The sequence below is a fragment of the Homo sapiens genome, chromosome 13 (assembly GCF_000001405.40).
Source record: "Homo sapiens chromosome 13, GRCh38.p14 Primary Assembly".
Lineage (NCBI taxonomy): Eukaryota > Metazoa > Chordata > Mammalia > Primates > Hominidae > Homo > Homo sapiens.
The window spans coordinates 60,526,591-60,553,707 of record NC_000013.11 but is presented as its reverse complement, the minus strand read 5'-3'; the positions used below and the strand labels follow the sequence as shown (position 1 = coordinate 60,553,707).

At 34.6% G+C, this 27,117-nt stretch overlaps 1 protein-coding gene and 1 pseudogene across 14 annotated transcripts in view; both read right to left on the bottom strand.

Annotated features, from left to right (window-relative positions):
* The window catches only part of TDRD3 (tudor domain containing 3), a 178,347-nt gene that overhangs the window by 20,172 nt on the left and 131,058 nt on the right, over nucleotides 1-27,117 (bottom strand). For 7 of the 14 annotated variants that reach the window (XM_024449417.2, XM_005266560.3, XM_005266556.5 and 4 more), the window contains exons 11-14: nucleotides 24,491-25,341; nucleotides 18,475-18,600; nucleotides 6,400-6,464; nucleotides 6,217-6,303 (exon numbers count right to left, since the gene is read on the bottom strand). In XM_024449417.2, the coding sequence (XP_024305185.1) occupies nucleotides 6,217-6,303; nucleotides 6,400-6,464; nucleotides 18,475-18,600; nucleotides 24,491-25,341 (1,129 nt within the window). Of the gene's footprint in view, nucleotides 1-6,216; nucleotides 6,304-6,399; nucleotides 6,465-18,474; nucleotides 18,601-24,490; nucleotides 25,342-26,189; nucleotides 26,347-27,117 lie in introns of those variants that run through there. The other 7 variants (XM_047430685.1, NM_001146071.1, NM_030794.2 and 4 more) reach the window with 2 other exon arrangements.
* On the bottom strand, nucleotides 23,927-23,997 carry LOC124903274 (uncharacterized; annotated as a pseudogene).

The window sequence follows — 27,117 nt, the reverse complement described above, 5'->3', positions numbered from 1 at the left end:
GATGGTTTTAGCAGTTCCCCTTTTGCCCTCTCTACTGCAACCTTGTGAAGAAGGTGCTAGCTTCTCCTTTGCTTTCTGCCATGATTTTAAGTTTCCAGAGACCTCTCGAGCCATGCAGAACCGTGAGTCAATTAAACCTCTTTTTTTTTTTTTTATTTAAAAAAAATAAATTACCCAGTCTCAGGTAGTATCTCTAGAGCAGAGAATGGACTAATACAGAGAATTGGTACCAGCAGAGTGGGGTACTGCTAAAAAGATAACCTGAAAATGTGGAAGCGACTTTGGAACTGGGTAACAGGCGGAGGATACAACAGTTTGGAGGGCTCAGAAGAATACAGGAAGATGTGGGAAAGTTTGGAACTTCCTAGAGACTTGTTGAATGGTGTTGACCAAAATGCTGATAGTGAATGATGATTTAGGGTATCTGGCTGAAGAAATTTCTAAGCAGCAAAGCATTCAAGAGGTGACCTGGCTTATCCTGAAAGCGTTCAGTGATCTACATTCACAAAGATATGGTTTGAAATTGAAATTTATGTTTAAAAGGGAAGCAGAGCATAAAGATTTGGAAAATTTGCAGTGTGAGCATGGGGTAGAAAAGAAAAACCCATTTTCTGGGTAAGAGTTCAAGCCAGCTGCAGAAATTTGCATAAGTAACTTGTTAACAGCCAAGACAATGGGGAAAATGTCTCTAGGGCATTTCAGAGATCTTTGAGACATCCCCTTCCATCACAGGCCCGAAGGCCTGGGAGGGAAAAATGGTTTGTGGCTGGAGGGCCCTGCTGCTCTGTGCAGCCCCAGAACTTGGTGTCCTGTATCCCAGCCACCCCAGCTCCAGCCATGGCTAAAAGGGGCCAAGATGCAACTTGGGCTGTGGCTTCAAAGGGTGCAAGACCCAAGCCTTAGCGGCTTCCACGTGGTGTTGGCCCTACAAGTGCACAGAAGACAAGAGTTGAGGTTTGGGAGCCTCCACTTAGATTTCAGAGGATGTACGGGAAAGCCTGGATATCCAGGCAGAAGTCTGCTGCAGGGACAGAGCCCTCATGGAGAACCTCTACTAGGGCAATTCAGAGGGGAAATGTGGGGCTCCAGCCCACATACAGAGTCCCCACTGGGGCACTGCCTAGTGAAGCTGTGAGAGAAGGGCCACCATCCTCTGGACCCCAGAATGGCAGATCCACCTATAGCTTGCACCGTGTGCTTGGAAAAGCCACAGGCACTCAACACCAGACTGTGAAAGCAGTCATAAGGGCTGCACCCTGCAGAGCCACAGGGGCAGAGCTGCTCAAGGCCTTAGGAGCCTACCCCTTGCATTAGCGTGCCCTGGATGTAAGACATGGAGTCAAAGGAGATTATTTTGGAGCTGTAAAATTTCATGAGTGCCCTGCCAGGTTTCAGACTTGCATGGGGCCTGTGGCCCCTTTGTTTTGGCTGATTTCTCCCATTTGGAATAGGAACATTTACCCAATGCCTGTACCTCCATTATATCTTGAAAGTAACTAAGTTGCTTTTGATTTTACAGGCTCAAAGGCAGATGGGACTTGCCTTGTCTCAGATGAGACTTTCGACTTGGAATTTTAAGTTAATGCTGGAACGAGTTAAGACTTTGGGGAACTGTTGGGAAGACATGATTGGTTTTGAAATGTGAAAAGGATATGAGATTTGGGAGAAGCCAGGGTGGAAAGATATGGTTTGGCTCTGTGTCCCCACTCAAATCTCATCTCAAATCGTAATCCCCACATGTCGAGGGAGAGACCTGGCGGGACATGACTGAATCATGGGGACAGTTTCCCCCATGCTGTTCTCATGATAGCAAGTGAGTTCTCAGGGGAACTGATGGTTTTAAAAGTGTTTGCAGTTCCTCATTCACTGTCTTTCCTGCTGCCTCATGAAGAAGGTGCTTGTTTCTCCTTCACCTTTTACCATATTGTAAGTTTCCTGAGGCCTCTCCAGCTATGCAGAACTGTGAGTCAATTAAACCTCTTCTTAAAATAAATTACGCAGTCTCAGGTAGTATCTTTATGTTGACAGCAGTGTGAAAACGGACTAATACACATTGAAACAGAAAAGAAAATTTTAACAGAAAAAATAAAAGGAAAAGGAATTAGTCTAAAGAAAAGGGTAGTGCAAAGAAGCAGTTTGGGTTTACTTCCTAGAGAGGTAATTTGGAATGGATACTCAACTCCTGATCTGGAAATTTCAATCAGTGGCTGCTGCTGCAATTAAGGGGCAACAAGCATTACTTTCAGGAGGTGAACAATAAAAGAGACTGTTCTTTCCAAAGCCTTAAAGGAAAACAAGAGAAATGGAACCAGCATTAATTAACAACCTGTGTGCCAAGCATTTCAAACATTCAATGACCTAACAAAATGTTTACTGAATAATTATTATGTTCCTCACAATAATCCTGTGAGGTTACATGTTTTTATAGGTATTTTCCATAGAAGAAAACAAAACTAAAGTTAAAAAATATTCTATATCTTTCCCAAGGTATGTGGACTCTAAAATTCATGCTCTTTCCACATATCCCAGTGGATACAGAGGCTAAAGAAGAGAATTAGACTGACCACATTAAACTCTTAAAGGTTTATATAAGTAGACCAAAAGGAAAGGCTTTCCATCTCACTCGCATTTTAAATACATAATGAAATTAGTAAAACAAAGTAGATATAATTTATATGCTATAGTTCTTACTGTCAAACACGAATTATCCATAATACTTTCTACTCTCAACAGACAGAAAGAGCTATCCTGAAATGGCTGCAGTATCCATAAGCAGCTCCTATACTTAAATGAATTAATGTAAGTAAAAGAGCTTAGAATAATGTCTGGTACAAAGTTGAGTGTTCAATAGTTCAATAAAGTGAGCTATTACTATTACTTCACAAATGTAAAGTTTTATTTTTTATAATGCCAGGTAACAACATAAACAGTTTTTCTTTTACTGGTTTGAGTCAAGCAATTTGACTATTTTATCCCAGTAAGTTAACCTAACACAAAATGCGAAACTAGCTCTTAACTGGCACTTTACAAAGTGATTTTACAATTCATCTGGATTACTTGACTAATGTAATACTAAAAAGAGACTAAGAATCTTGTCATTCACAAAATGTTCATTTTTCTTCCAATGAAGAAAGGAACCCAGAGGCAATCTATTTACTAAGACAAATCCTACCAGTTTATCAAATACAGTCATCATTTTTATAAAATTCATGCAAGTTAAAGTTTTTTCCTCTCTTCGTATCTACAGACACAGAGCATTAACTCCTCCAAGAACATGACTATTGAGAAGAAAAGTGTAATAAAGCAGTAAAATTCACTAATACAAATATTTTCACACCAAATTCTTCACATTACTGCATGTTCCAAGACATTTATCCTCAAAGGCTTAGATGAATACAAATAATTCTGTTCTGTATACTTTATTGGCAAGTTCCTAAATTTACCAAAGAATTTATCACTAGAATACATTTTTCAAATGGGATGTTCATCAATTTCATAATTTGATAAACCTCATAGTATTGTGTTTCTTCATTTAATGAGTGTTATAACATGCAGTGGCATAAACTTTGAAACAGACTATCTTTCTAAGCTCTCTCTACTCTTAGTGACACACTGTAAATTGTTTAGGTTCTTTTTTGAACATTTACCAATATTTTGGCATGGTACCAATTAGAAAGAGATCAAGTGTTCATGATGCAGGCATACTATTCAATGCCACAACAAGATTATTATATGGTAGTTTACAAATTAATTATATTATCATAAAAGTATGTTCTTAATAGGATTACTTGGTTTCCTATTTGGATTTTGTTTTATAATTCCACAGCTAGTAGTGGACAACACTTTGTCATGAAAAAAAATACGATGAGCACTAAAAAAATTTTTTCTCATTCAAAAGTGTGCTCCATGTTAGAAAAATTGCTTTTCATAAAATGGTCAATAATAGACAGATAAGTCAATAGGTTAAGCCTCATGAGATTAAACAAAAGTTTAAACAAAATTATTTTCTACGTTTTCTTACTTTCTTTACTGAGATAAGCCCCCAAAGGAAAAATTTAGTAAATATCACAACTTTTTAAACACTGATATCTCTCACGTTTGTCCACGTGCACATACACGTGCACACACACACGTGTCTTAGAATGCTCAAGTATATAATTAACATTTCAATCTATTTAATGTATTAATATCTGGCATAAAGATGAGCTCTAGAAGGCCTGAAACATTGTCAATATTTTTAGGATTATATTAATGTTACCAGCAGAAGCTAAAACCAGCTTTATAGGGCATTTTCCAATACTGAATTTTGCTGACATCCTAGGGCAATAATATAGTCACTATGATGACACAGATTTTCAAATGGCAGGTTCTTAATGAGAACCTCTACTGAAAATGGGCTGAGAGGTTAACTGTTACCAAACTTTTCTTGCAGCTAGAAACTAATAATGATCTGTCACAACATGTTTCTATTTTCATTTTGTTTCCTTTTACTTTTTAAAAGTAAAATGTAATCCAAAATTACAGAACATTTATAAAATTGAATACACATACCCAGAGACTTGACTCTAAAACCACCACTACCTTGAGTGTCTTTTCAAGCTATAAATTGCTTTTAATCACTTATATACATTCCTCATACAGCCTTTGTAATGATCTTTTTTATCACAGGTGTATAATAGTTCATCCAGCAGATGAATGACAATTTACCATTCTCCTACTGTTGGATGCTTAAGTAGCTTCTGGTTTTTCACTACCATGATAATCCTACAATGATAATCTCCAAGCAATTAGCTTTTTTCTTCTACTATTTCCCTAGGAGACATTAGCAACTATGGGATTACTGGTTTAAAAGTTATGAACATTTTTAAGTGTTGGGAAAAAATAATCAAAAGGATCATACTAATTTTCAGCACCATCAGCAATGTATAAGAGTACCCATATCACTGCATCCTTGCCAGCGTAAGTATTATGATTTCATTTTTTCCACTAATTGGTAAATTTCAAAGTGTATTTTACTGTTTCAATTTGCATTTGATTTCTACCATATTTTCCTCTAATTTTTAGTTATGAAAGATGACACTGCTACTTCAGCAAGAAACCATATTGAGCATAAGTGAATGGTTCAAGGCTTAAAAAAACAAAATAAAAAAATCTTTAATAATGTAATCTAATCATGATATGAGTAATTGTTATTATGCTCCATGGTAATTAGGCATTAATGGCAAGCGGCTCATGTAAGTGGCTATTATTACTATTATTTACAGATAGTCAGACCAAGCATTCTTAGATTGTTGGAGAGGACTGGAACAAGTACAGTGACAAGCTCTTCTTATGCCCTCATAAAAATCCCTTGATCAGAACCCAGGTGTGATCCAGAAGGCAAGTTCTCTTTCTTCCTTAGCTGCAAGCACCCTCTATAAACTGAGCACCCAATAAAGATAGCATTTTAAGTTTAGTTTGGCTGAGGGTGGGCTAGGACTTAATTTCTGAGAAGCTGAGGCAAATCAGATAATATTCAAAGCACTGACCAAACAAATAGCCACCAAATTCTTATGTCTTCCCTCTACTATACTCCTCAGGTTAAGCTTTCAGTGAGACCTCTGAAGAACTTTTAACTCTGAACTATTTCCATTTCCTTTCCCACAGAGAAAATGAATGGACTAGAGGCACATTTATATAACCATTTTCCCAGTCAACCTTACTAACTAATGGAGCAGTGAGCTAAGAAACAGGATTCAAGGGACTTCCCTCTGCCAAAATCTTTCTCCTCAACACTGTCTGAATTTTCATGCATTAGAGATTCTTTGATGTTTCTAAGCACATAATTCTGGGAATATTAAAGAAGAAAGGTGAGAGTGGGAAGGTTAAGAAGGGGTCATAATAATCCACTCTGTATAGTGAAGATTAATTTAACCAACTGGGTTTTACATTCTTAGAATACTTAACTGTTTATCAGACAGAGGATAGAAATAATATTTTCAATATGAAGAGGAGATAGGGAGAAACAAAAGTAGTTAAGTCATTCTGGCTTGCTTTAAAAAGGGATATTTGAGGACAATAGACTACAGAATAGGGGAGAAGAAGGCTAAGCCTATGATAATAAGAATTTATATTTCTATAGCTCTTGGGAGGTTATAGAGCACATTTACATAGATCATTTAATTCTCACAACAATCCTGTACTGAAACTGGGACCCAGAGATATTAGGTAACTTACCCAAAGTCACATAGGTAGTAAGTGGCAGAGCCAGGACTCGAACCCAGGTCTTCTGACTCCTCCTGTGCATTTCCAGCTCCCCTGGAGCTGAAGCAGGGGCAAAAAGGGAGGTGGAAGTAATTTGCCCAAGACCAGCCTTGCCCACTCCCCTTCTCTCAAAGGCCAAGCAGAGCAGATATTCACCTCAGAGATCCCTTTTCACCAAATCCTTTCAGGATAAAGCACAGTGTCTGAAAATGTTTTCCAGCCTTGGGTCCAAGAATGGCAAAAGTGGTGAACAATGTCATGAGATTTTTTTTGGTTATACTTTGCCATTTATGTGAAATTCATTGCAACCTCAAAGTATAGTAATTCTCATTTCAGAATATAAAACATTTTTTATAATGAAAATTATTTAAAGCAGTTTGCTTAAAAATTTTGCTTAGCAGTTTCTGTCAAAACTTTGAAATTATTTTTTTTCAATCTAGACATTTTATTAAGTTCTATTAAAAATATTAAGACATCTGAAAAACTCAGAAAGTTTATAAAACACACTCATACTCAATAATTTTCTTATTCTTTGATAGCCAGTGCGACATGTTGAAGACGTTACACCAAAACCAACCCACCATACTGCAAAAAGCTGTATCTCGAGTTTAATCAACATCCATCCTAATTAAGAGGAAATACACTCTTGTATAAAAGAGTGTAAGTTTTTATTAAGTTGTTTTTAAAAATAACTTTTCCCTTAAACTTAGGAAGGGTTGATTTTGCTAATTTACCCTGAAATTATTTTGAAAACTGCCTAAGAATCAAGACACCAAATCTACCTGCAGCCTGGTATGACCACTTTTTTCCTATCTTAATCATGTTCTCTCAATGACTATTTCATTAATGTAAGTATAGTCATTAGAATAGATAGGAAATTCACATATTCAGTCTTTTCATGACCACTTTAAATATTTTCAATAAATAGGAAAGTGTATCATCACCACCTTGAGATATATATTTTTTATTTCTAAATTATGCCTAAAATTTTTTAATGTAGGCTTTTATAATTAAACTTCTATAACAAAATTTAGACTTTCTAGTCTCTAGTTCCTTACTTTTTCTTAAATGAATTACATATTTTAATTTCCCATCTTAATTATTTATGTTTCTAATGAGTTTTAAATGTATTTAATGAGAAATTTTATTTCCCTTGCTAATTTCTAAAGAATACAACATAAATGGACTGGGCATATGATCAATATTTTATCATTTCTAGATCTTTTTGTAATAAGTTCCAATACAAGTCAGTCTCTAAAAGTCTTTCCATTTATGAGAACCACCACCAGTATGGCCAAGTACAAAGCAAGCATTTACAATAATCAGGGCATACAAAAGATCAACCAGGTATGTCAATGTATTTGTGCCCAAAGCTTTTAGAGGCTTTCTAAACTTTAAATGATGCTCTATTTATTTAGACTTCATTTGAGCACTAGTCCTGAGTTGGAAAATATGCAACCTATATAAAAGCCACATGACACGCATAAGATGAATAAAAAGGTAAACACATAGAAAACAAAATAAAAGAGGAGGAGAATGAGGAGGAGGAGCTTAGATAAAGAGAAAAAAGAGAGAAACAGAGGAAGAACAAAAAGGAAGAGAATAAACAGTTCACCTAAAATAGACTGAAAATTTAGAGTAAGTACCAATACTCTCAACCCCTTGATATGTCTCCTTTTTCCATTTGCTTTAATACTTCAATTTCATATTCTAAGAATCTAATCAAGTCTAACATTCTTTTGGGTACTGATGGTCAAATTCATGATTTCCTAATAATAATATTTATATTATCTGATCACCTTGAGAAAAAAATACATTCGTGTACATTCTCCACATTATTTTCAGCCTTATTAAGTCTTTTCAAGATAAGATGGTCACTAGTGTCCTAAGTCATTCATTAAGTGGTACCAAAAAAATGGTTACCAACACTTAAAATTACATGTCCCTAAATTTTACAGTTTGAATCATACTGAACTAAAATTAAACTGACTTCTAATATCTTGCTTTGTATAATAAACTCTTTAATAATCATGACCAAGAGGGTTGACCCTAATTTCCTAATTACACAATCTGGGAAAAGTGAACATAATCAGACATGATAAAAGATGCCAATAAAAGGCTGTTAAATAGAAGTTTCTGAAAAGTCTATATTGGGCTTCCCGAATTACTTCCTAAATTATCTCATTCACTTAACATGCTGTTATCATGTAAAACTATAATCAAGACCCATGCCAGCAATGGTTCCCAGACTGGTATCATCTCAGTGTCATGGTAGCCTTAACAATATTAGGTGGCTTCTGAAGGGAAGAAAACATACCTTCTACTTCTCTTATATCCTTTTAATCCCTTGAGCATATAGACCCATCTATTTTTCTAAAGTAGCTTTGGTACAAAAAGAACTCAGAATATTTGTTGAAAAGCTATCATATTAAACTGTCATGTACAGGCTTGGTGTCTGAAGAAGGACTTTTCAGTAATAAAGGTGACCACCAGGAATATACCATCATTCAATAAATAATTACTGATCTCCTTCCACTGTTTTAGCTAACAACCCAGTTCATATACTAACTTAAAATTCTGATACTATCAAGATTTAAAAGAGAAGGTACTTATAGTATACATCTATTGATTATTTATAGAGTTCCTTTGCATGAACTCACTTTGAAATCTCTCAAGTGAGCTCTGGAGTTTGATATGGAGTATCACAGCTCATCTGATTTATCAACTGGTATCAGGAAAGTAAGAATAGGAGATCAAGAGCAGTTAAGTACTAATAAGAGTTTGTTTTTTAGAAGGTTCTGAATAACAAGCTTTTAATGAATTAATATACTATTCAAAGGCTTCAGAGACAACACAGTAGCCTATTAATAAAAGAGCAATATAAATGTTGACACAAAGTAGAAATTGTGGTCTTTTAGGAGGCCTCTTCTCCATTTAAAAATGTACACATACCCAATGGAATTTACTAGTTTTGACAATTTTTTCTTTTCTTTTTTCTTTCTTTCTTTTTTTTTTTTTTTTAAAGAGATATGGTCTTGCTTTGTTGACCAGGCTGGAGTGTAGTACAGTCATAGATCACTGCAAGCTTGAAGTCCTGAGCTCAGGCAATCCTCCCATCTCAGACTCCTCAGTAGCTGGGACTATAGGTTCATACCACCTCACCTGGCTAATTTTTTATTTTATTTTATTTTTGTAAAGTAAGGGTCTTGCTATGTTTGCCCAAGCTGGTCTCAAATGACCCTCCTGTCTCGGCCTCCCAAAGTGTTGGGATTATAGGCATGAGCCACCATGCCCAACCCAACACTTTTTTTGATTTAGTAGCCAATGCTAGCTTAACGACAGAAAAAAATTTAAAAAAAAAGGAATTTCAGGTTTTGGCTTAGACTAGGTTATTGTGGAATAACAAATACAAAACCCAAAGAAATGATGAAAATACCTCACTGCTGGGACATATAAACTTCATGTAGGTTATAAGGTAAGAATCACAAAAAAAAAAAAAACAGCTATATTACAAAAACGATAATGGGAGTCTTCATAAATAACAATTTCTGAAAGTTAATACATAAAAGTTTCCAGAATTAGTTAAAATAAAATTAAAAGATCAGTGAGTTGTATATAATTATATGTAAAATAAAATATTTGTATGCAATAAAATAGTATTACTAATGACACAAGTACTTAAAAGGGACAAAATTTCAGGAATATATTTTGTCTTCTACTCACAGAAAGGAAGAGGCTTGGAATGTGATTGAGGAAAAATTGCTGTTTATATATTTAATCTCTATTAATAACATAAAAATACCATATTAGTAGAGGTTTGGAAATTCTAAAACAATGTATTCCAGAGATAAATCTTTACCCATGTTATGAATGAGAAATGTAAAAACTAGAAAGATAAAAACAAATAGTTAAGATGGTTTCCAAGTATTTCCTGTAGACATTGTATAATAGGTTCTATACAGGAAAAAAAATTCCATGAGAAAATAACTTCGTGAAACACATACATTATATATCTCTCTTGGAGATTTAAAATACATATTAACTTGTTATTGACTCAAAGAAGTCCTGTAATCAAAAAATGTACTTAAATTTTTTTAAATCTAGATTTTTCCAAATTTGTTTAACCATGAAGTGGAACTAATGTCCTCAGAACATACTTCAGAAAACCCCAAGCAGGGTGGATGAGGCAAGAATAATTATGTACAAAAAAATAATAACTTTTGTATTCTTATGATGGTCTGGGTTGTTTACTAGAACCTCTTCATTATGTTTACTCTTATTAAACTATATGAGTTTTTTAAGGCAAATAAAATGTACTCACTGTTGTAGTACTTCCTTTCCCTTCTGAATGGAGCTCTCAGCCAATGACAGGCTACTAAAAGAGTTATTTCAAGCCAAAATGTAAAACTCTTGCCAGTGGTTCCCAAGTTTAATGGAGCTGGAAGCTCTATAATACCAGAATATTTCTCACAGGGAAACAGAACAACTCCACTCTTTTACTAGAGGTATGACAGTGAAACCCATTATACACGATGCTAGAATAAACAGCACAGGTCCAGTAAAGTTCAATAAATTAAGATCAGTAGTAAGGGTAGCCCATATACATCAAAAGATACCACTCACCAGAGGTAAAAAGAAAAAGAAATTTAAAAATTAAAAGGCCAAAAGGATATAATGTTTAGGAAACAATGGAAATTGAGAGATGACTCATAAGACGATAAAAGTAAGACTAAAGAGAAATAGTATTAAGTAGAGACATACATAGGATTTAAAAAGAGAATGAACAACTGACAACTCATTATGGTATGCAATCAAATATGTATCATAAGTCCACTTTTAGTCCATCACCATCAAGGTTCACCATCACTGACTTATAAAGGAGAGAAGCTGCACTGAGGGAGTTCCATCTGAAAGGGAATAAAGTCTATGGTAAAATGAGCAATATTATTTTTCTGCTTTTTTAGATGCAGATGAAAGAAGCTCAGAAATTCACCAGAAACTGAAACAGGTGTGTGTGTGTATTCAACAAGGATGCCTTTTCAATTTGTACAAAATTTTTAAAATATATTGACATGAGTGTCAAGATGCATGCCCAATAGAAGACTAACATCTCTGAGACCATAGAAATAAGACAAAACAAAAATATCCTTCAGATCCACTTATTTTACTACTTTATTTCCTGTGCACTGAGTATATTAGCAAGTCTTCTACATATATTTGCGAAAGAATGGTAAAATTCAGGACAGTCTAAAATTATAGCTTTAAAAGTATCTATAAGTAAAGTAAATGAAAAGATAAAATTTGCACTTCCAGGAGAACAAGTTTTAGGACTACTGAACCATAAGTATCAAAGGGAAAAATAAGATCACCTGAACAATTCCAGCCCCGTTCAGTTGTGGCTCTCACCGATGATGCTTCCTTAAGAATATGCTGAAGGAGGCCAGGTGCGGTGGCTCACGACTGTAATCCCAGCACTTTGGGAGGCTGAGGCAGGTGGATCACCTGAGGTCGGGAGTTCGAGACCAGCCTGACCAACATGGAGAAACCCTGTCTCTACTAAAAATACAAAATTAGCTGGGCATGGTGGCCCATGCCTGTAATCCTAGCTACTCAGGAGGTTGAGGCAAGAGAATTGCTTGAACCCAGGAGGCGGAGGTTGTGGTGAGCCGAGATTGTGCCATTGCACCATCCTGGGCAACAAGAGCAAAACTCCGTCTCAAAAAAAAAAAAAAAAAAAAAAAAAAAAAAGACTATGCTGAAGGAAAAATCCATCTATTATATAATATTGGATATACATGAATGAAAAATCAATCTATTATATAATATTGGATATACAAGTAAAGTATCATAAATATACTTCTTAATTAACCAATGCCATATATTCAGAAGTCCATACTTTAGGTTACCATTAATAAAGGGGAGATTTAGTTGATAAAAGATTAATGTAATAGCTTCTGGTATTATTCACGTATACAAAAAAAAATAAAAGAATGCCGTGGACTGGGCAAGGTGGCTCACACCCATAATCCCAGCACTTTCGGAGGCCAAAGCAGGCGGATCACCTGAGGTCAGGAGTTCAAGACCAGCCTGGCCAACATGGTGAAACCCTGTTTCTACTAAAAATACAAAAATTAGCCTGGATAGTGGCGGGTGCCTGTAATGCCAGCTACTAGGGAGGCTGAGGCAGGAGAATGGCTTGAACCCAGGAGGCAGAGGTTGCACTGAGCCAAGATCGTGCCATTGCCCTCCAGCCTGGGTGACAAGAGCAAGGCTCCGTCTCAAAAAAAGAAAGAAAGAAAGAAAGAAAGAAAGAAAGAATAGAAAAACAAAAAGAATGCTGTAGATTTTTCAAATAGTTATGCTAACCTAATATTTAATATTTTTAATCTAGCATTTTCCAAATTTGTTTAACCATGAAGTGGAACTAATGTCCACTTAGTAATAGTTAAATAATTTGAGGCTTAAATTATTTTATGAATTGTAATTAAAGTTAGAAACAGATGCATTATTATTAAAATAACTTTAAAAAGAGTGACGGCATGTGTTAGGTAATATCGTGTCATGTTATTTCACTTTGGGATTTACTTCACCATCAGAAAAATGAAACATGAAATAATAACATAATCTATATTTTCATTACTCAATAAAGGAAAACTCAGAATACCCAGAAACCTTTTAAATATGTTTTTACATATAGTTTAAATAGATTATAATATGTTATTATCAGATATTAGAATTCAAACAATACTTTGTACAGATTATTAAAACAGCATATTATTTTCTTAGTATTAATTTAAATGGTCAATTAAAATGTCCCCATTGAATAATATAGCTAGATCAAAACTAAACCTCAAGTTTTTCATAATATTCCGTTAGGCTTAGCTATCACAAACTGAATTTGGATTTAAGAGTTAGATACGAACGAATTTTAAGGTAACATTTATGCATATGGAATACATTTATGAATAAATGCTCTGTCCTTCTGTGTCAGCAGTTTTTATATCTCCAGCAAAGTGTTTTTGTATAATCCGCAACCTCCCACAAAAATGGTAAAAGGCTGGGTGATAGATGAGGAAGAAATAAATAAAGCTCCATCTAACACAACCAAACTTTACTAAAAGAAAGCTTAAAGATACTGCATGGAATCCCTAAGTTCCATGTACCATGATTTGAAAATTATGTTCTTAAATGGGGCTAAACTAGCCATACAGTTTCCTTCTGATTTACTGTTGTTTATATTGCAAAAGAAAATGAGCACTGCTCACATGGTGATCTCTGAAAGTTTCCCAAAATATGTGTGGTAGAAGAAGATGTATTTCAGTGACCTGAACCAGTAAGTATGAAAAATTATAACTGCAAACTTATTTAAGAACTTATCAGTAAAAATGAAAAATCTTCTGGACTAGGGTCACATAGGTGCTTGTATTGTTTACTAAATACTAATTGGCAAAACCACACTGTTACATAATTCTAATCCTCCTTTGAGGTCAATGGTTTTTGTAAGAATTATCCTTTTTAATATCTACTATGATATTTTATTATCAAATAAAACTAGATGGAGCCTAATTTTATAACTATGCCATTAAAATTACTAACACGACCTTTATCTAGGACTCATTTTAAACTCATGATTATATGTATCACAACTCTCCATCACCCTCCTCATTAGAATTATGGAAGGTTCTATTTTTCTTTTTAATATTATAATAGTGATGGAATAATTTATAGCTTATTAATATTATTTGAATTTGAAAAGGTAACTTTCAAATGTGCTTCCCAGGATGACATTATAAAATAAATTGTATACAAAGTTACTTCAAAACTAAAACTTGAGATTGATAGCTCTTCATTTTAAAGTACGCTAACATGAAAATATATATAATTATCATAAAAAAAGAACCCAAACCCTCCTAAAAACAAATTTTACTTTTTAAATAGATAAAATATATAAGAACTTTTTAAAGAGATACAATTCTTTAAGTTATGCTTTCTTCTTCCACATTAATTTTATCTTTAAACTAATATGGAATAATAACCTATAATTATTTAAATTAAAACTTCAGTAAGATTTTCTCTACTCATATTTTGTTTAAAGCTTCAAGAAGAATTCAGACCCTAATTAGATATTTCAGTTTGTTTCATATAATAAAAACTATGACTTTCTTATCTTTGTGCAGAGGGCAGGGATTTTTGTGTTTTATAGACTTACATATACCCTCACCTAGAACAGTGCCCGACAACTAAGAGATGTACTAGATACATAATGAATATTTGTTGAATAAATGAGTATTCTACAGAAAAACACTTAAGATAGGATGCTCACCTAAAAGACGATAACAATTTGCCTATCACCTTCCAGAATTACTGGCCAAGATGATGTGTATTGTATGTTAAGGTCTTAGAACTAACAATTACCTACACAATAATCATTTTTCTAGTTGAAATAATAGCTGAACAATGATCATTTCCTGATACCAAGAAGCAGATACTATGAACTTTTAAAAAGAAAGTTTAGACATTAGCACACTGTAAAACACTTCTTATGATATAAAAGTCTCAATATAATTCAGGTCATTAATATATATGGAAAATGAGGACCCAACAATGTTTTCCCAGGTTTAGGAGAGCAATTCAGAAGCAACAACACAAAAAGTTTGCCTGACCAGCAGCACCAGAGTATTTTACAAGCCTCCAAATTGCCTGTGGCATCTTTTTACTGGTTTCCTGGAATTCGTTTTAGAGTTTAAAGGAAGCAATTTGGAAAGGGCCTGTGGGAAACACAAGTAGCAGGTTTTCTTTGCCCCTAATGTTTTCTCATACAGTGGTAGGAAATAGAAAATAATCTGTTGTTTTCCATATATAATTTTACTAGTGAAACATGAGACTCCATAATGTTTCATTTACTTTGCTAAAATAAGAAAAATCCTACAATGTTCAAAGAACTCATTTTTTGAGATAAATAAGAGCATTTATCCAGTTAATAATAAGCTGTGCATCTCATGTGTGTTAACTAGAAAGTTCACTGCAATAAAGACATCAAATTAAGATAGAATACCTTAAGACAGCCAAAAAAAAAAAAAATACAGGTGAAATCTAGCTAGAACAAATAAATCAGGGATGACAACAAAAGTTTAATGAATCATTTTGAAGATAATTAGAATTTAATCATAATCGAAACACAATTTTGGCCATATAAATGTGTACTCAAAGACCACAACATTAATACTTTCAAAATATTTCAAAAATATACTCCCTGAGTATGTTCTGGAAGTAAAAATACATATCCACACGAAAAGGAGAAATAAATATTTGGTCTACTGACAAATTTAAGGCAAATAATTTCTAAATTTCATGAGAAAAACATTAACACTTAGATTTAAAGTATTAACTTGATTTTTATTTTAATTTTCCATACAACAAGGTATTAACTTAGTCATCGAGTCACTTCATATATCATGCTTTCTATTTAATGATTTATGCTTATACTTTTAAAAGACAACACAAGCAACTAATTTTCTACAAAGGCTTTTGGCTTATATGCAGGCTTTTTTGACTGTTTTTCTGCAAACTAGTTTAAAAAAATCTTCACTAAATGATCACTGCTACATTTAGGAAAACAAGAGTTTTCCAAAATCTTGTGGCAATACAAACATAAATCTTAATGAAAGATACAATACCATTTCACAATAAAAAAAATTGTAGTGCACATATATAGTGCACAAGTTAAAAAATTAAAAATTCCACAATCCATAGTGTAATTGTGCTAAGGCCTCTCTAACCATTTCCCTGCAGCTTTGCAGCCCTTTAATTTTTCTAGTATGACTTATCAGTTACAGTTACCTTCTTATTGGTACAGTGAATGTTTTGTTTTTTGATAATTTTGTACATTTTTGACTTAAAACTTGTTACAGTTTCCTCTTACCAAAATTTTTAAAAAGTACTCAAAGACCCCAACATTAACACTTTCAATACTCTCAGGGGCTAAGAGAATTCTATATGAACTCTACATTGCATGTACTGACAGCAACACAGACTATATTTCTTCAGGGTTTTTTTACATCTATATGCACACAAATATTTTTTAAAATAGAAATAGGTTGAGATATGTTAAGCTGGTGGCCTCTATATTTCGAGGAGATATTTCTCTCAACTAAGTTAATTATTTATGCAGATAAAGAAGAAAGGCTGATCATAATGTGCATGATCCAGAGATGTCTGTTATAGTAACCTACGCAAATTCATAAAACGTCAACAACCACTTGATTATAAAAGTAGGAGAAAAGAAATACCAGAATCTCCAAAAGATTTAGTGATTCTATCCTGCTTCTTTCTGTAAAATATTTCAAATATTTTATAAAAGATTTCTAAGTTGACTGCAGAGAAAGAAAATAGGTTAATAAATGACATAATAAAGGATAAATATTCACAAATAAGTAGGAAGAATATGAAAGTATTGCTGTAGTTCAGAACAGAATCACTAAATGAGCTGTACACCTGATAAATTTATTGTCCAGCTAAGTTTATACAGACCTAAAATCAAGGATAAAGCAATGAGGACTCTTAAGGGAGAAATAGGAAAAGTCACTGACTGTAGAAAGAAAATGATCACTTCAGGACCAAACACCTCTGAATAGAAGAGCTACAGTAAGGAATAAGAAATGTGCTCATCAGCTATGGCCACCCTGGAACAGCAAAAGGAAGGAGAGAAGAAGCCACGTAAGAAAAGTAAATTTTTCTTTAGGGAGAGAAGAATAAAATTAATCTCTTACTAAGTCTTCTAAAAAGTAAGAAGTAAATAACATAAGAATTGTATTTTCAATCTTTGACTGCTATGGCTAAAAACAACTGGGAACATAATAAATAGCAAACCAGGACTCAACTTGTAGAAATACAGATTCAATAAATAATTACTTTCATCATCAAAACTAGATTAAAATGTGTGTATTAATGGAAAAGAGAGAATGAAAATAGCCATCATATGAGAACCTCTCAGAAGAGTAAAAATATGGTTACACCAAATTTCTCCAAGAAAAGAAAGATGTAAATTAGATATTGATGATTTGGAGTTTTTAGGCAAAGAGCAATTAAAGTTTAGAGGATAAGAGTTAGGGAAACGATCTCTTAATTAAACATATGAGCCATTAGCAATCTTATGTTGTAAAAGTTGGAATAATAAATTATTTAGAAAATAATTTCTCTAGAACAAAAAGGCAAAAAATAAAGATCCATGGCCCAAAACATTATTACTACTATTAGGTTTTTTGTTTTTCTGTTGCCGTTTTATTTCTCTTTTTGGAAGGTGGAGAAGGGGTACCACTGAAGATATGACAGAAAAATTTTAGAAGACCAAAACTAAAAGCAGTTCATGAGAAAACAATGTACCCTTCAATGATGAAGTTACTCTGGATGATATAATTTTCTAGAATATTTTGCTATTTTAGGAAAATACCAACATATTTGTTGATATTGGCTTATAACAATAAATTTATTAACAGCTACTCACAAATTAAAGAAATGAAAGAAGTACGAAAAACTTCACAGAGCTAATTCTAATATGTCTTGTATTCCTGTTTTTGCCTAAATGTAAGAATCAATCTATATAAAATCACATAAGTTCTTTATAAAATGGACTCCATGAGTCAGTAAGTTCTAAGTTACATCATCAAAGTTATCACACAGCTTTGACATAACATTTGGTAACAAAACTACTCCAATAATTAGCAAACAGATAATTTATAGTTAATCTGTACATATATACGTCAATATATATGCAGTAAATGCAGTGTAAAATTGTATATAACTTAAAGTGTTTTTTTTAATTTTACCTGTAACTAAAATAATAAATGACATTGCACATCCAACAGAGATTTGAATTTGACAGCTGCTGGACATAATTTAGTAAAATTCAAAGTAACAAACTGGGAAAAAAACAAAATATGCATAAAAACCCATTTCACGCATACAAATTTTTGGCAAATGTAAATAAGGGCACCTATTTCCAAAGCATAATACAACAAAACATTATACAAGAAAAGTAATTCAATGCATTCATTTTTATTGTAGTTCATTCAGTGTAAGCATTGAATTAAAATCTTACTTTAGGGGTAGCCAGTTATAAGTAAATTCAAAATATGATTCCACTTGCATATTTTGTATGGCTATCTAATTCTTTAGAGCTATATATTTTCTTCAAAATAGTTTATGCCTTTGTACAGAATATGTATCACGTACCCATGCCTCTGTTTGAATGGGCTTGATATTGCTCAGTAGCACCTCTTCATAGTTTCCGTAGTCAATGAATTTAACAACTGCTGTCATACCCGAAGAATGGAGGGCTTCAACTTCTGCCCGGTAAAACTGAGGAGGCAAAAGGAGTTTTAAATATGACAACTGGTATTGTCTATAAAGGGCAATATTTGAGGGAAATGTAAATTTTTAAAGTGTTCCAATGTGTAATATTCTTTAGAAGGAAACTTACCTTTGGAACCCTTTTGAGTCACATTAGTAAGACAATTCTTTTTTTTTTTTTTTTTTTTTGAGACAGGGTCTTGCTCTGTCGCCCAGGCTGGAGTGCAATAGCAAGATCTTGGCTCACTGCAACCTCCGCCTCCCCAGCCCAAGCGATCCTCCCATCTCAACCTCTTGAGAAGCTGGGACTACAGGTGTGTGCCACCACACCTGGCTAATTTTTTGGTATTTTTTATAGAGATGGGGTTTCACCATGTCGCCCAGGCTGGTCTCAAACTCCTGAGCTCAAGTGATCTGCCTGCCTTGGCCTCCCACAGTACTGGGATAAAAGGTGTGAGCCACTGCGCCCAGCCAACAATTCTTATATACTAATCAGAATATATAACTATAGAGTAATTTATTTTAAAAACAGAAATATCTGACTAAAAAAAAAATTGCAAAAAAGGCTGCTCAGTGCTTCAGTCATCACAAGTGGCTAGAATGAAGTAGGAATGTCAGGCAAGAAGCTAAATGCATCACTTAGATCCAGTATTTATAGGATTAAAGACATTGCAAGTCCGGAGGCTTATCAGTTTCCTTAGTGTTAGCCAGCTCTAAGAACTGATGCATATTAACAAACTCACAAGGAACTGATTTACTTAATAACTATAATTTTATCTACTTATTTATTTATATTTATTTCTAGAGACAAGTTCTCACTCTGTTGCCCAGGCTGGAATGCAGTGGTGTGATCATAGCTCACTGCAACCTCAAACTCCTGGGCTCAAGTTGTCCTCTTGCTGCAACCTCCCAAGTAGCTGGGTCTACAGGTGCATACAACCATGCCTGGCTAATTTTTAAAAATTTTTCATAGAGACAGGGTATTGCTAGGTTGCCCAAGCTGGTCTCAAACTCTTGGCCTCAAGTGATCTTCTCTACTTGGCCTCCCAAAGTGTTGGGATTACAAGCATGAGCCACTATGTCTGGCCAATAACTACAATTTTAAAATTTATCTGTTAATTAACTAGGAATAGGTCATCTGATTGCAGTAATCTTTCAGTACAGATCATCCCATCCAGGACCCAAATTGTAGGTCTGAATGTTGCTTAACTACAATTTAAAAATTTATCTGTTCAATAACTAATATATAGCTCTATTTATCTGTTAAATTAACTGGGAATAGGTCATCTGATTGGAACAATCTTTCAGTACAGATCATCCCATTCAGGACAGAAATTGTAGGTCTGAATGTTGCTTAGGAAAGGTGAAATGGACACAAAAAACAAATTGCTCTTAATGTTTTCTTCAAGCTAGGGTATTTGAATACTCTATTACAGTATAACACTATCTACTCTAATAGCATCTCTCTTTTTTTTTGAGACAGAGTCGTCCTCTGTCACCCAGGCTGGAGTGCAGTGGTGCAATCTCAGCTCACTGCAACCTCCGCCTCTCGGGTTCCAATGATTCTCCTGCCTCAGGCTCCCGAGTAGCTGGGATTACAGGCACGTGCTACTACACCTGGCTAATTTTTGTATTTTTAGTAAAGACAGGTTTTTACCATGTTGACCAGGCTGGTCTCGAACTCCTGACCTCAAGTGATCTGCCCGCCTCTGCCTTCCAAAGTGCTGGGATTACAGACATGAGCCACTGCGCCCAGCCAATAATAGTATCTCTTAAGAGGTTCACTAAAATTAGAAAATGCTACAGGCAACAAAAATTCATATTTTTCACATCCTTCTAAAAAATGAGTTACCCTCAAAATAGTTGGTTTTTAACTAGTATATTTAATATTACAAAGGTATTAAGTGAATCCACGGTGTTTCCTTTCCAGGTCTGAATGTTAGCAAGTTTAGAGACATGATGCTGTACTTTTCCTCATCTTAGAATTCTTGTTATACCTTCCTATCTCTCCCCTCTTCCTTTATTTCTTAGCCCCACACTTTTGTGTTCTGTGAATTGTTCTGAGTTGCCAAATTATGCCAGTTCAGGTAAATTAAACAAACACTGAATCATGCTATATCTTAGCATGACTAAGATATATGTATTTTTGACTTATGATATTTTCAACTTATGATGGGTTTATTGGGATATAAACCCAATAAAAATGCTAAAATCTATATTTATTCTGTCAGTGAAGACTTTAACTAGAAGGAATGACATGGTCTAAGACCAGGATCACAGTGGTGGCAATACTGAGGACAAATTTAAAAGGAATAAAGTTTCAGGCAAGGAAACTAATATGGAGGTTGTTGTAATATTTCAGTTGACGAAAAAAATAGCTGAACTAGTTTAGCAGTCTACAGGAAGAAGAACTTTCCAGAAGTTCCCAAATTCTCCTATGGAAATGAAGTTAGAAAGAAGGCAAGATATTGTGAGGAAATTTTTTAAGCAATATGTATACTAATGTATTAATTATCTCCAAAATATCATTACAATGCAATTAAGAAGATTATGGTATCTTAATGATAGTTACACTCAATTCCTTTTCTTAAATGTCTACCCTTGTCTCTGCCTAAAAAACACTGGAAAGTTGTCCATTCTTGACAAGACATTTAGAAGCCACCTCTTCAATTTGTGGTTTCAGAAGATTAACTAATTCCATCTCTTTCACAGGGTATTCTTTACCTTTTTCCCAATGGTTAAGGGTGGTGTAATCTATTTAGAGTCCACAGTTCCTCACTACAACTGAAAGTACACATCTAATCTGAATCAAAGTAGCCATCGTAGAAGATCATTCAGTTACCCTAAGAATGCTCCAATCACTCAAAACACTTTGGGTACTGTTTTGTTAGGTACTGAATTGTTAGGTACTGTTTTTTAGATGCTACATGACATTTTGAACATATTCAGCAGAGGCAATAAATTTGGTACTTTGATTTTTTTTAATTTAATTTTTTCACCACAGCTATTACTGATGGACAGTATTAATTTTTTATACAATTACAATTAACATTAGACCTTTATTAACAATTGTAACAGGTATTTGGAGGCCTTTTAGTACAGCACAGCCATAACTATCTGATATGCCCCAATCACCTGGCACATAGCAGTAGCTACTCAGTTATGATTTGTTGAATATTAGATTAATATTTGTTAAAGAACTCTGCTCAATCTAATTATCTGTAGGCCTATTCTTTTTTGTTTTTGATAATCATTCATAGTCATTCATTCATTCTTTGTTTTTTTTAACTATGGCTCATAACTTTTTAAAGGATATTAGACACTGCAGATAAGTACTGGAAAGGTTGTAGAAGATGTTATTTTTTTCCCAGTAAAACAGTTACATTTTCTACTGGCAGAGAGAATATAAGCAGATATCCCTGATCCTGTAGAGAGTTGCTTTTGACTCTGTAAGGGTTGCCTGTTTTAATTTTGCAGTTACTACCCAGGGTATGATCTTTGTGGGATTTCAATGGAAAGCCTGAGTCACTTACCAAGGCTTTCAAACATTTTGAACGTGAATTCCAATCTCTTACTTCTGCTCTTGTCAAGGTCACCAGTAACCCCACATTATCCAATACAGAAAACACTTTTCCATCCTCACCTTAACCTTTCACAGGAGCATCAGATACAGTGACTATTATTTCTAGGGTAGCTACTGTTGGCTCAACAAACACTGCTTTCCAATTACTTCACTTTTTCTTGCCTCCACCATGAAGGAGAAATATCTAAATATAATGAATCTCCCACTACTCAAAACAAACAGTTCCTGAATTTTGGAAAGTAGTCTGAGTTGGAAGAATAAGAATCTGGATAGTGAAGACCACCTGCATCTGCTTTTCAAGTCTTCCTAATAGCCAGGAAGTGGCCATGTGAAATAGTTCCAAATCTGCTGGTATTCCTGGGAAGGCTTTTGCTTTTCCAGAGAAAAAGAAAAGACACCCAGTGCTGTCTCTTCCCTTCTTTCCAGGCTTAAGTAAAGATGTGACAGAGATGCTGTTTCTAAATAATCATCATCCCAGTCACACAAAAATCTTAAAAGCCTATGCCATCTAGCTGTTTCACTCTGTACTCCTCCTTATTCTATCATCAGGCAACATCTAACACTCTGCTTATACCTCATTATTTAATGAGCACAAGAAGGCCTGGTTCTTGACCCCAAATCCTACAGCATCCTTATTAAAGGATCCACCCAAACCCCTAGTGTGAATTTCAATTCCTTGAAATCTTCAGTTACCTTTACTTACACCATTCCCTTTAGCCACACACTCTCATAGGCACATCCTTACTGTATCAACTGCAACCTATAAAATATTTATTTTGGGCCGGGCGTGGTGGCTCACACCTGTAATCCCAGCACTTTAGGACGCCGAGGCGGGTGGATCACCTGAGGTCAGGAGTTCAAAACCAGCCTGGCCAACATGGTGAAACCCTGTCTCTACTTAAAAAAAAAAAAAAAAATACAAAAAATTAGCTGGGCATGGTAGCGCATTTCTGTAGTCCCAGCTACTCAGGAGGCTGAGGCAGGAGAATTGCTTGAACCTGGGAGGTGGAGGTTACAGTGAGCTGACATCATGCCATTGCACTCCAGCCTGGGCAACAAGAGTGAAACTCCGTCTCAAAAAAAAAATTATTTAAAATATTTTTCCTCTTTTGAGTTGCTTCTCACATCCTCCCAGACCCTTCGCTCTGTAACTCCCTTACATACGTTTTTACTACCTTGCTATTGTCTCCATCCCCACACCATCCTACTTTTCTCATATGTAATTGCTCTCTCCAGAATTAACTAATTAACAGAGTTAACAAATAATTATGAAGTCCCTATACTGTGAAAGAAGCAAGACTACAGACGGAAACCAGAGAGGCACAGTCCAGCCTTCAAGGAACTTAATATCATGGTAGTGCAAAAAGATACCAATTCAAGAACCAAAACAAAAAATATTTACAAGTTGTCATAAATTTTAAAAAGTAATTAAGGCACTGATTAAGAGAATAATGTAAGTAGGAGGATGGGGCAGGTCAAAGAAGGTTTCTTCTAGGAGGTGATGTTTGAGCCAAGCCCTCAAGGATGAGAAGAGTAGCTGATAGAAGAGCATGTTGGGCAGAAGGAAAAAAATGTGCAAAGTCCCCTTCTCTCTGATGGTCCCTCTGTCCCTTTCCCTTTCTTGCTCTCACTGGGCTGGTCTTCTATCTCTTGGGTAGGCTTTTACTTGACCCACTGCACTCTTTCTTGCCCTCATCTTCTGTCTTTCCTTCCTTCTTTCCCCTACAATTTCTTTCTTTGCCTTTAGCCACCATATAATATAAAACTAAAAATTGGTTTAATAATTTTTACACTCGATCTTAGCCAAAAGGCCGAGAAGCAATGGTTTAATAATTTTAAAATTATTATAAAATAAATAATTAACTTATATGTTAACTTTTTAAAAAAGTAAGCTGAATGTGTACTATTTTCTTCAACTGAAAATCTGCAGAATTTTACTTTGTGCCTCTCAACTGATTTTCTTCCTTGTGAATCAGTGTAATTTTACCAGAGTGAAAAGCAAACATATGTAATTCAGTTGATGATAAGTAAAATAAAGCTCAACTTCACATAATTACTTTTACAATACTTTTCTGGCATGTAAGCTAAAACCAAACCGAACTTAACCAAATCTTACGGGACAGATTGTCCCTAGGCATCCATAAAAATATTAAATATTTTGTTTATCCTTTATATATCTATAAATCTGTTCAAAGATTTTAAACAGGTACAATAGTAGAAAAAGACTCATAGTTCCAAAGTGACAGCTTCTATAAAGTCCCACTAGAATGTTACATTTCGTAATATTAGTGTATAATATCTTTAAAGCATCCATACCTTGTTGTCTTCCCAATAAAGTGCAAAACATTCATCTCCAGGTTTCCACATTTTTGCATACTCCATAGGAATAGATGATTCTAGTATTTTTTCTGGCTTAATTGGCCCAGATCTTCGTTTGGGCCCACTATTGTAAAATATTTTATCATCACAGGGTACAGCTGTGACAGGTCCTGCTGGCTTAATAGGTCCTATTCGTCTTCCTTTCAGTGGCATTTCTACTTCTCCATTTGGAACACCAATGAAACTATTACTTCGAACTGGATTCTGATAATCAGTATTTACATTAAAATGTTTTTCAATTTTTATACCACTGAAAGCTTCATTATTTATTGTTTGTGATTTCCTGTCATAAAAATAATCAGGAATAGATGTTTGGCTTTCTCTTTTTCCACGTTTTTGATTATTATAATCTACAGATCCTTGAGGAAGTGGATTTTCTTTTGCCTCTGCAAAGGAGGGACCTTTTCCTGATCTGCTTTGCATAGAGTTATCTCTTTTTTTAAAAGCACCATCACTATGCTGAGAACCTAAAGGATATGAAGTATCTTTAGTTCTGTCATATCTAGAATACGGTCTATCACATTTGATTCTGTCTTCAGCCCATACTTCAGATACTGAAGAAGTACTTGGTCTTTCAGAACCTCTATTTCTAGGTAATCCACTGCCTTCTAAAACTGACTTTGAATTTTGGGAGTCTCTTTGAAAACGAGGCGGTTTTTCATTTCTTGGCTGCCTGGTATCATTTCGAGGAGGATGTCTCAGATGATTATTATCTTTTACTCCATTTTGCTCAGTATTTGATGATCTGTATTGTCCCTGATGAAGCTGCTGTGGCTGTGATTTAGGTTCTGAAAGGTAAAAGTATACCATATGCAAATTAAGATGAAGACTCTGCATTAATAATTATTTTAAAATGCTTTATTCTATTAATACAAAATTATCAAACTACTATTCTAAAATCTTCTTCCATCTTCCTACCTCATTATCTTACTCCTTCTTTGCTTCCTTGGAGTCCTGCATTTCTAATGTACAGTTTTCTTAGTCAGCAACATTAATAAAGTAAAGTAGTAAAAGGGACCACAGAAAAATGATGGATAATCCAAATTCTTATAATACAGCTACCTACATATGCTATTCTGGTAAATCATTTCCTAAAACATTAATGAAATAGAACTGCAAATTGCTAACTCAGAAACTGCTATGAAACTGCACAAGTACAACCCTGATCAACTCTTTCTGAATGCCACTCTAATTTAGAAATATATAGCTATTATTATCAGTCATGTTCTAGCCTTTGCAAAAATGTTTCTTTTCAAATCTTTCTGGATCTGGAATTGCTAAGTGTTTACGTTACAAACAGATATCCTACTATAAAAAAGAGTTTATGTTACAAATAGATATCCTACTATACAAAAGGGTTAATTTTCTTGATCTGTTAAAGTAATTAAGAGTGGGTACTACTTGGAAATACAGAAAAGTGTCAAAAGTGGAAATACCGAAAAAGTGTCAGAAACATTACTAAGCATAATACTGCCTATAATGTCCAAGAAATAACGTGATAAATATAGAAAGGTAATTTTTAATGACTGTATTTCACATAGTGATTTTTATTCTGTTTCAATTTGTACCATGTCATTTATACTTTCTTCCTCCATAATTTCACATAGCATGTCTATAACATGATTACCAAACATACTCATTGGTCTTTGGTGTATGTGTCTTGTTTCCTTTGTCATACATCATAATCAACATGCAGCTGTAATTATTCTTATATTTCCCCAAGGTTACACTTCCAAAGAGGGCCTCCACTGACATCTTGGGTGAGACTGTTCCCTCTGTTGCAAGGAAATTAACTGCAAGAAAATTAACTTCATTGGCCTACAGATATGAAATGCCAAAAGGACCCTCCCCCAGCATCCCCAGGGATGTTGACTATCAAAACTTTCCCCAAACATTTCCAAACAGCCACTGGAGGCCAAAAGGTATCTGGTAAATTGTTTAAAACAACAGGAATAAAGGTTTAAAGGTTACTGAGTGACAAAACAGGTCACTGATTAAAGATCAAGACTCAAAGTGGTCAGGCCAGGCATGGTGGCTCACACCTGTAATCCAAGCACTTTGGAAGGCTGAAGCAGGTGTATTGCTTGAGGCCAGGAGTTCGAGACCACCCTGGGCAACATGGTGAACCCTTGTCTCTACTAAAAATACAAAAATTAGCTGGGTGTGGTGGTGCACACCTGTAATCTCAGCTACCTGGAAAGCTGAGGCAAGAGAATCGCTTGAACCTGGGAGATGGAGGTTGCAGTGAGACGAGATTGTGCCACTGCTCTCCAGCCTGGGTGACAGAGCAAGACTCCATCTCGAAGAAAAAAAAAGACTCAAAGTGGTCCAAAAAAATCCATTCTCAACCGAACCAATGGAAGCTAGAAGCCAAAAGGCTTTAAATACTTTTAAAATTATGGAAAATTTTCTAAGGAAAAAAATTAATCCAGTCAAACCACCCCTTAACTGTGACAAAGAATGAAGATTTTTCTAAGATATAAGATTTCAAATATTAGCCAAGGCCATAAGAGAGATCTTTAAAAAAAAAAAAAAAAACTTTCCCCCAAGAATATCTGCCTAAT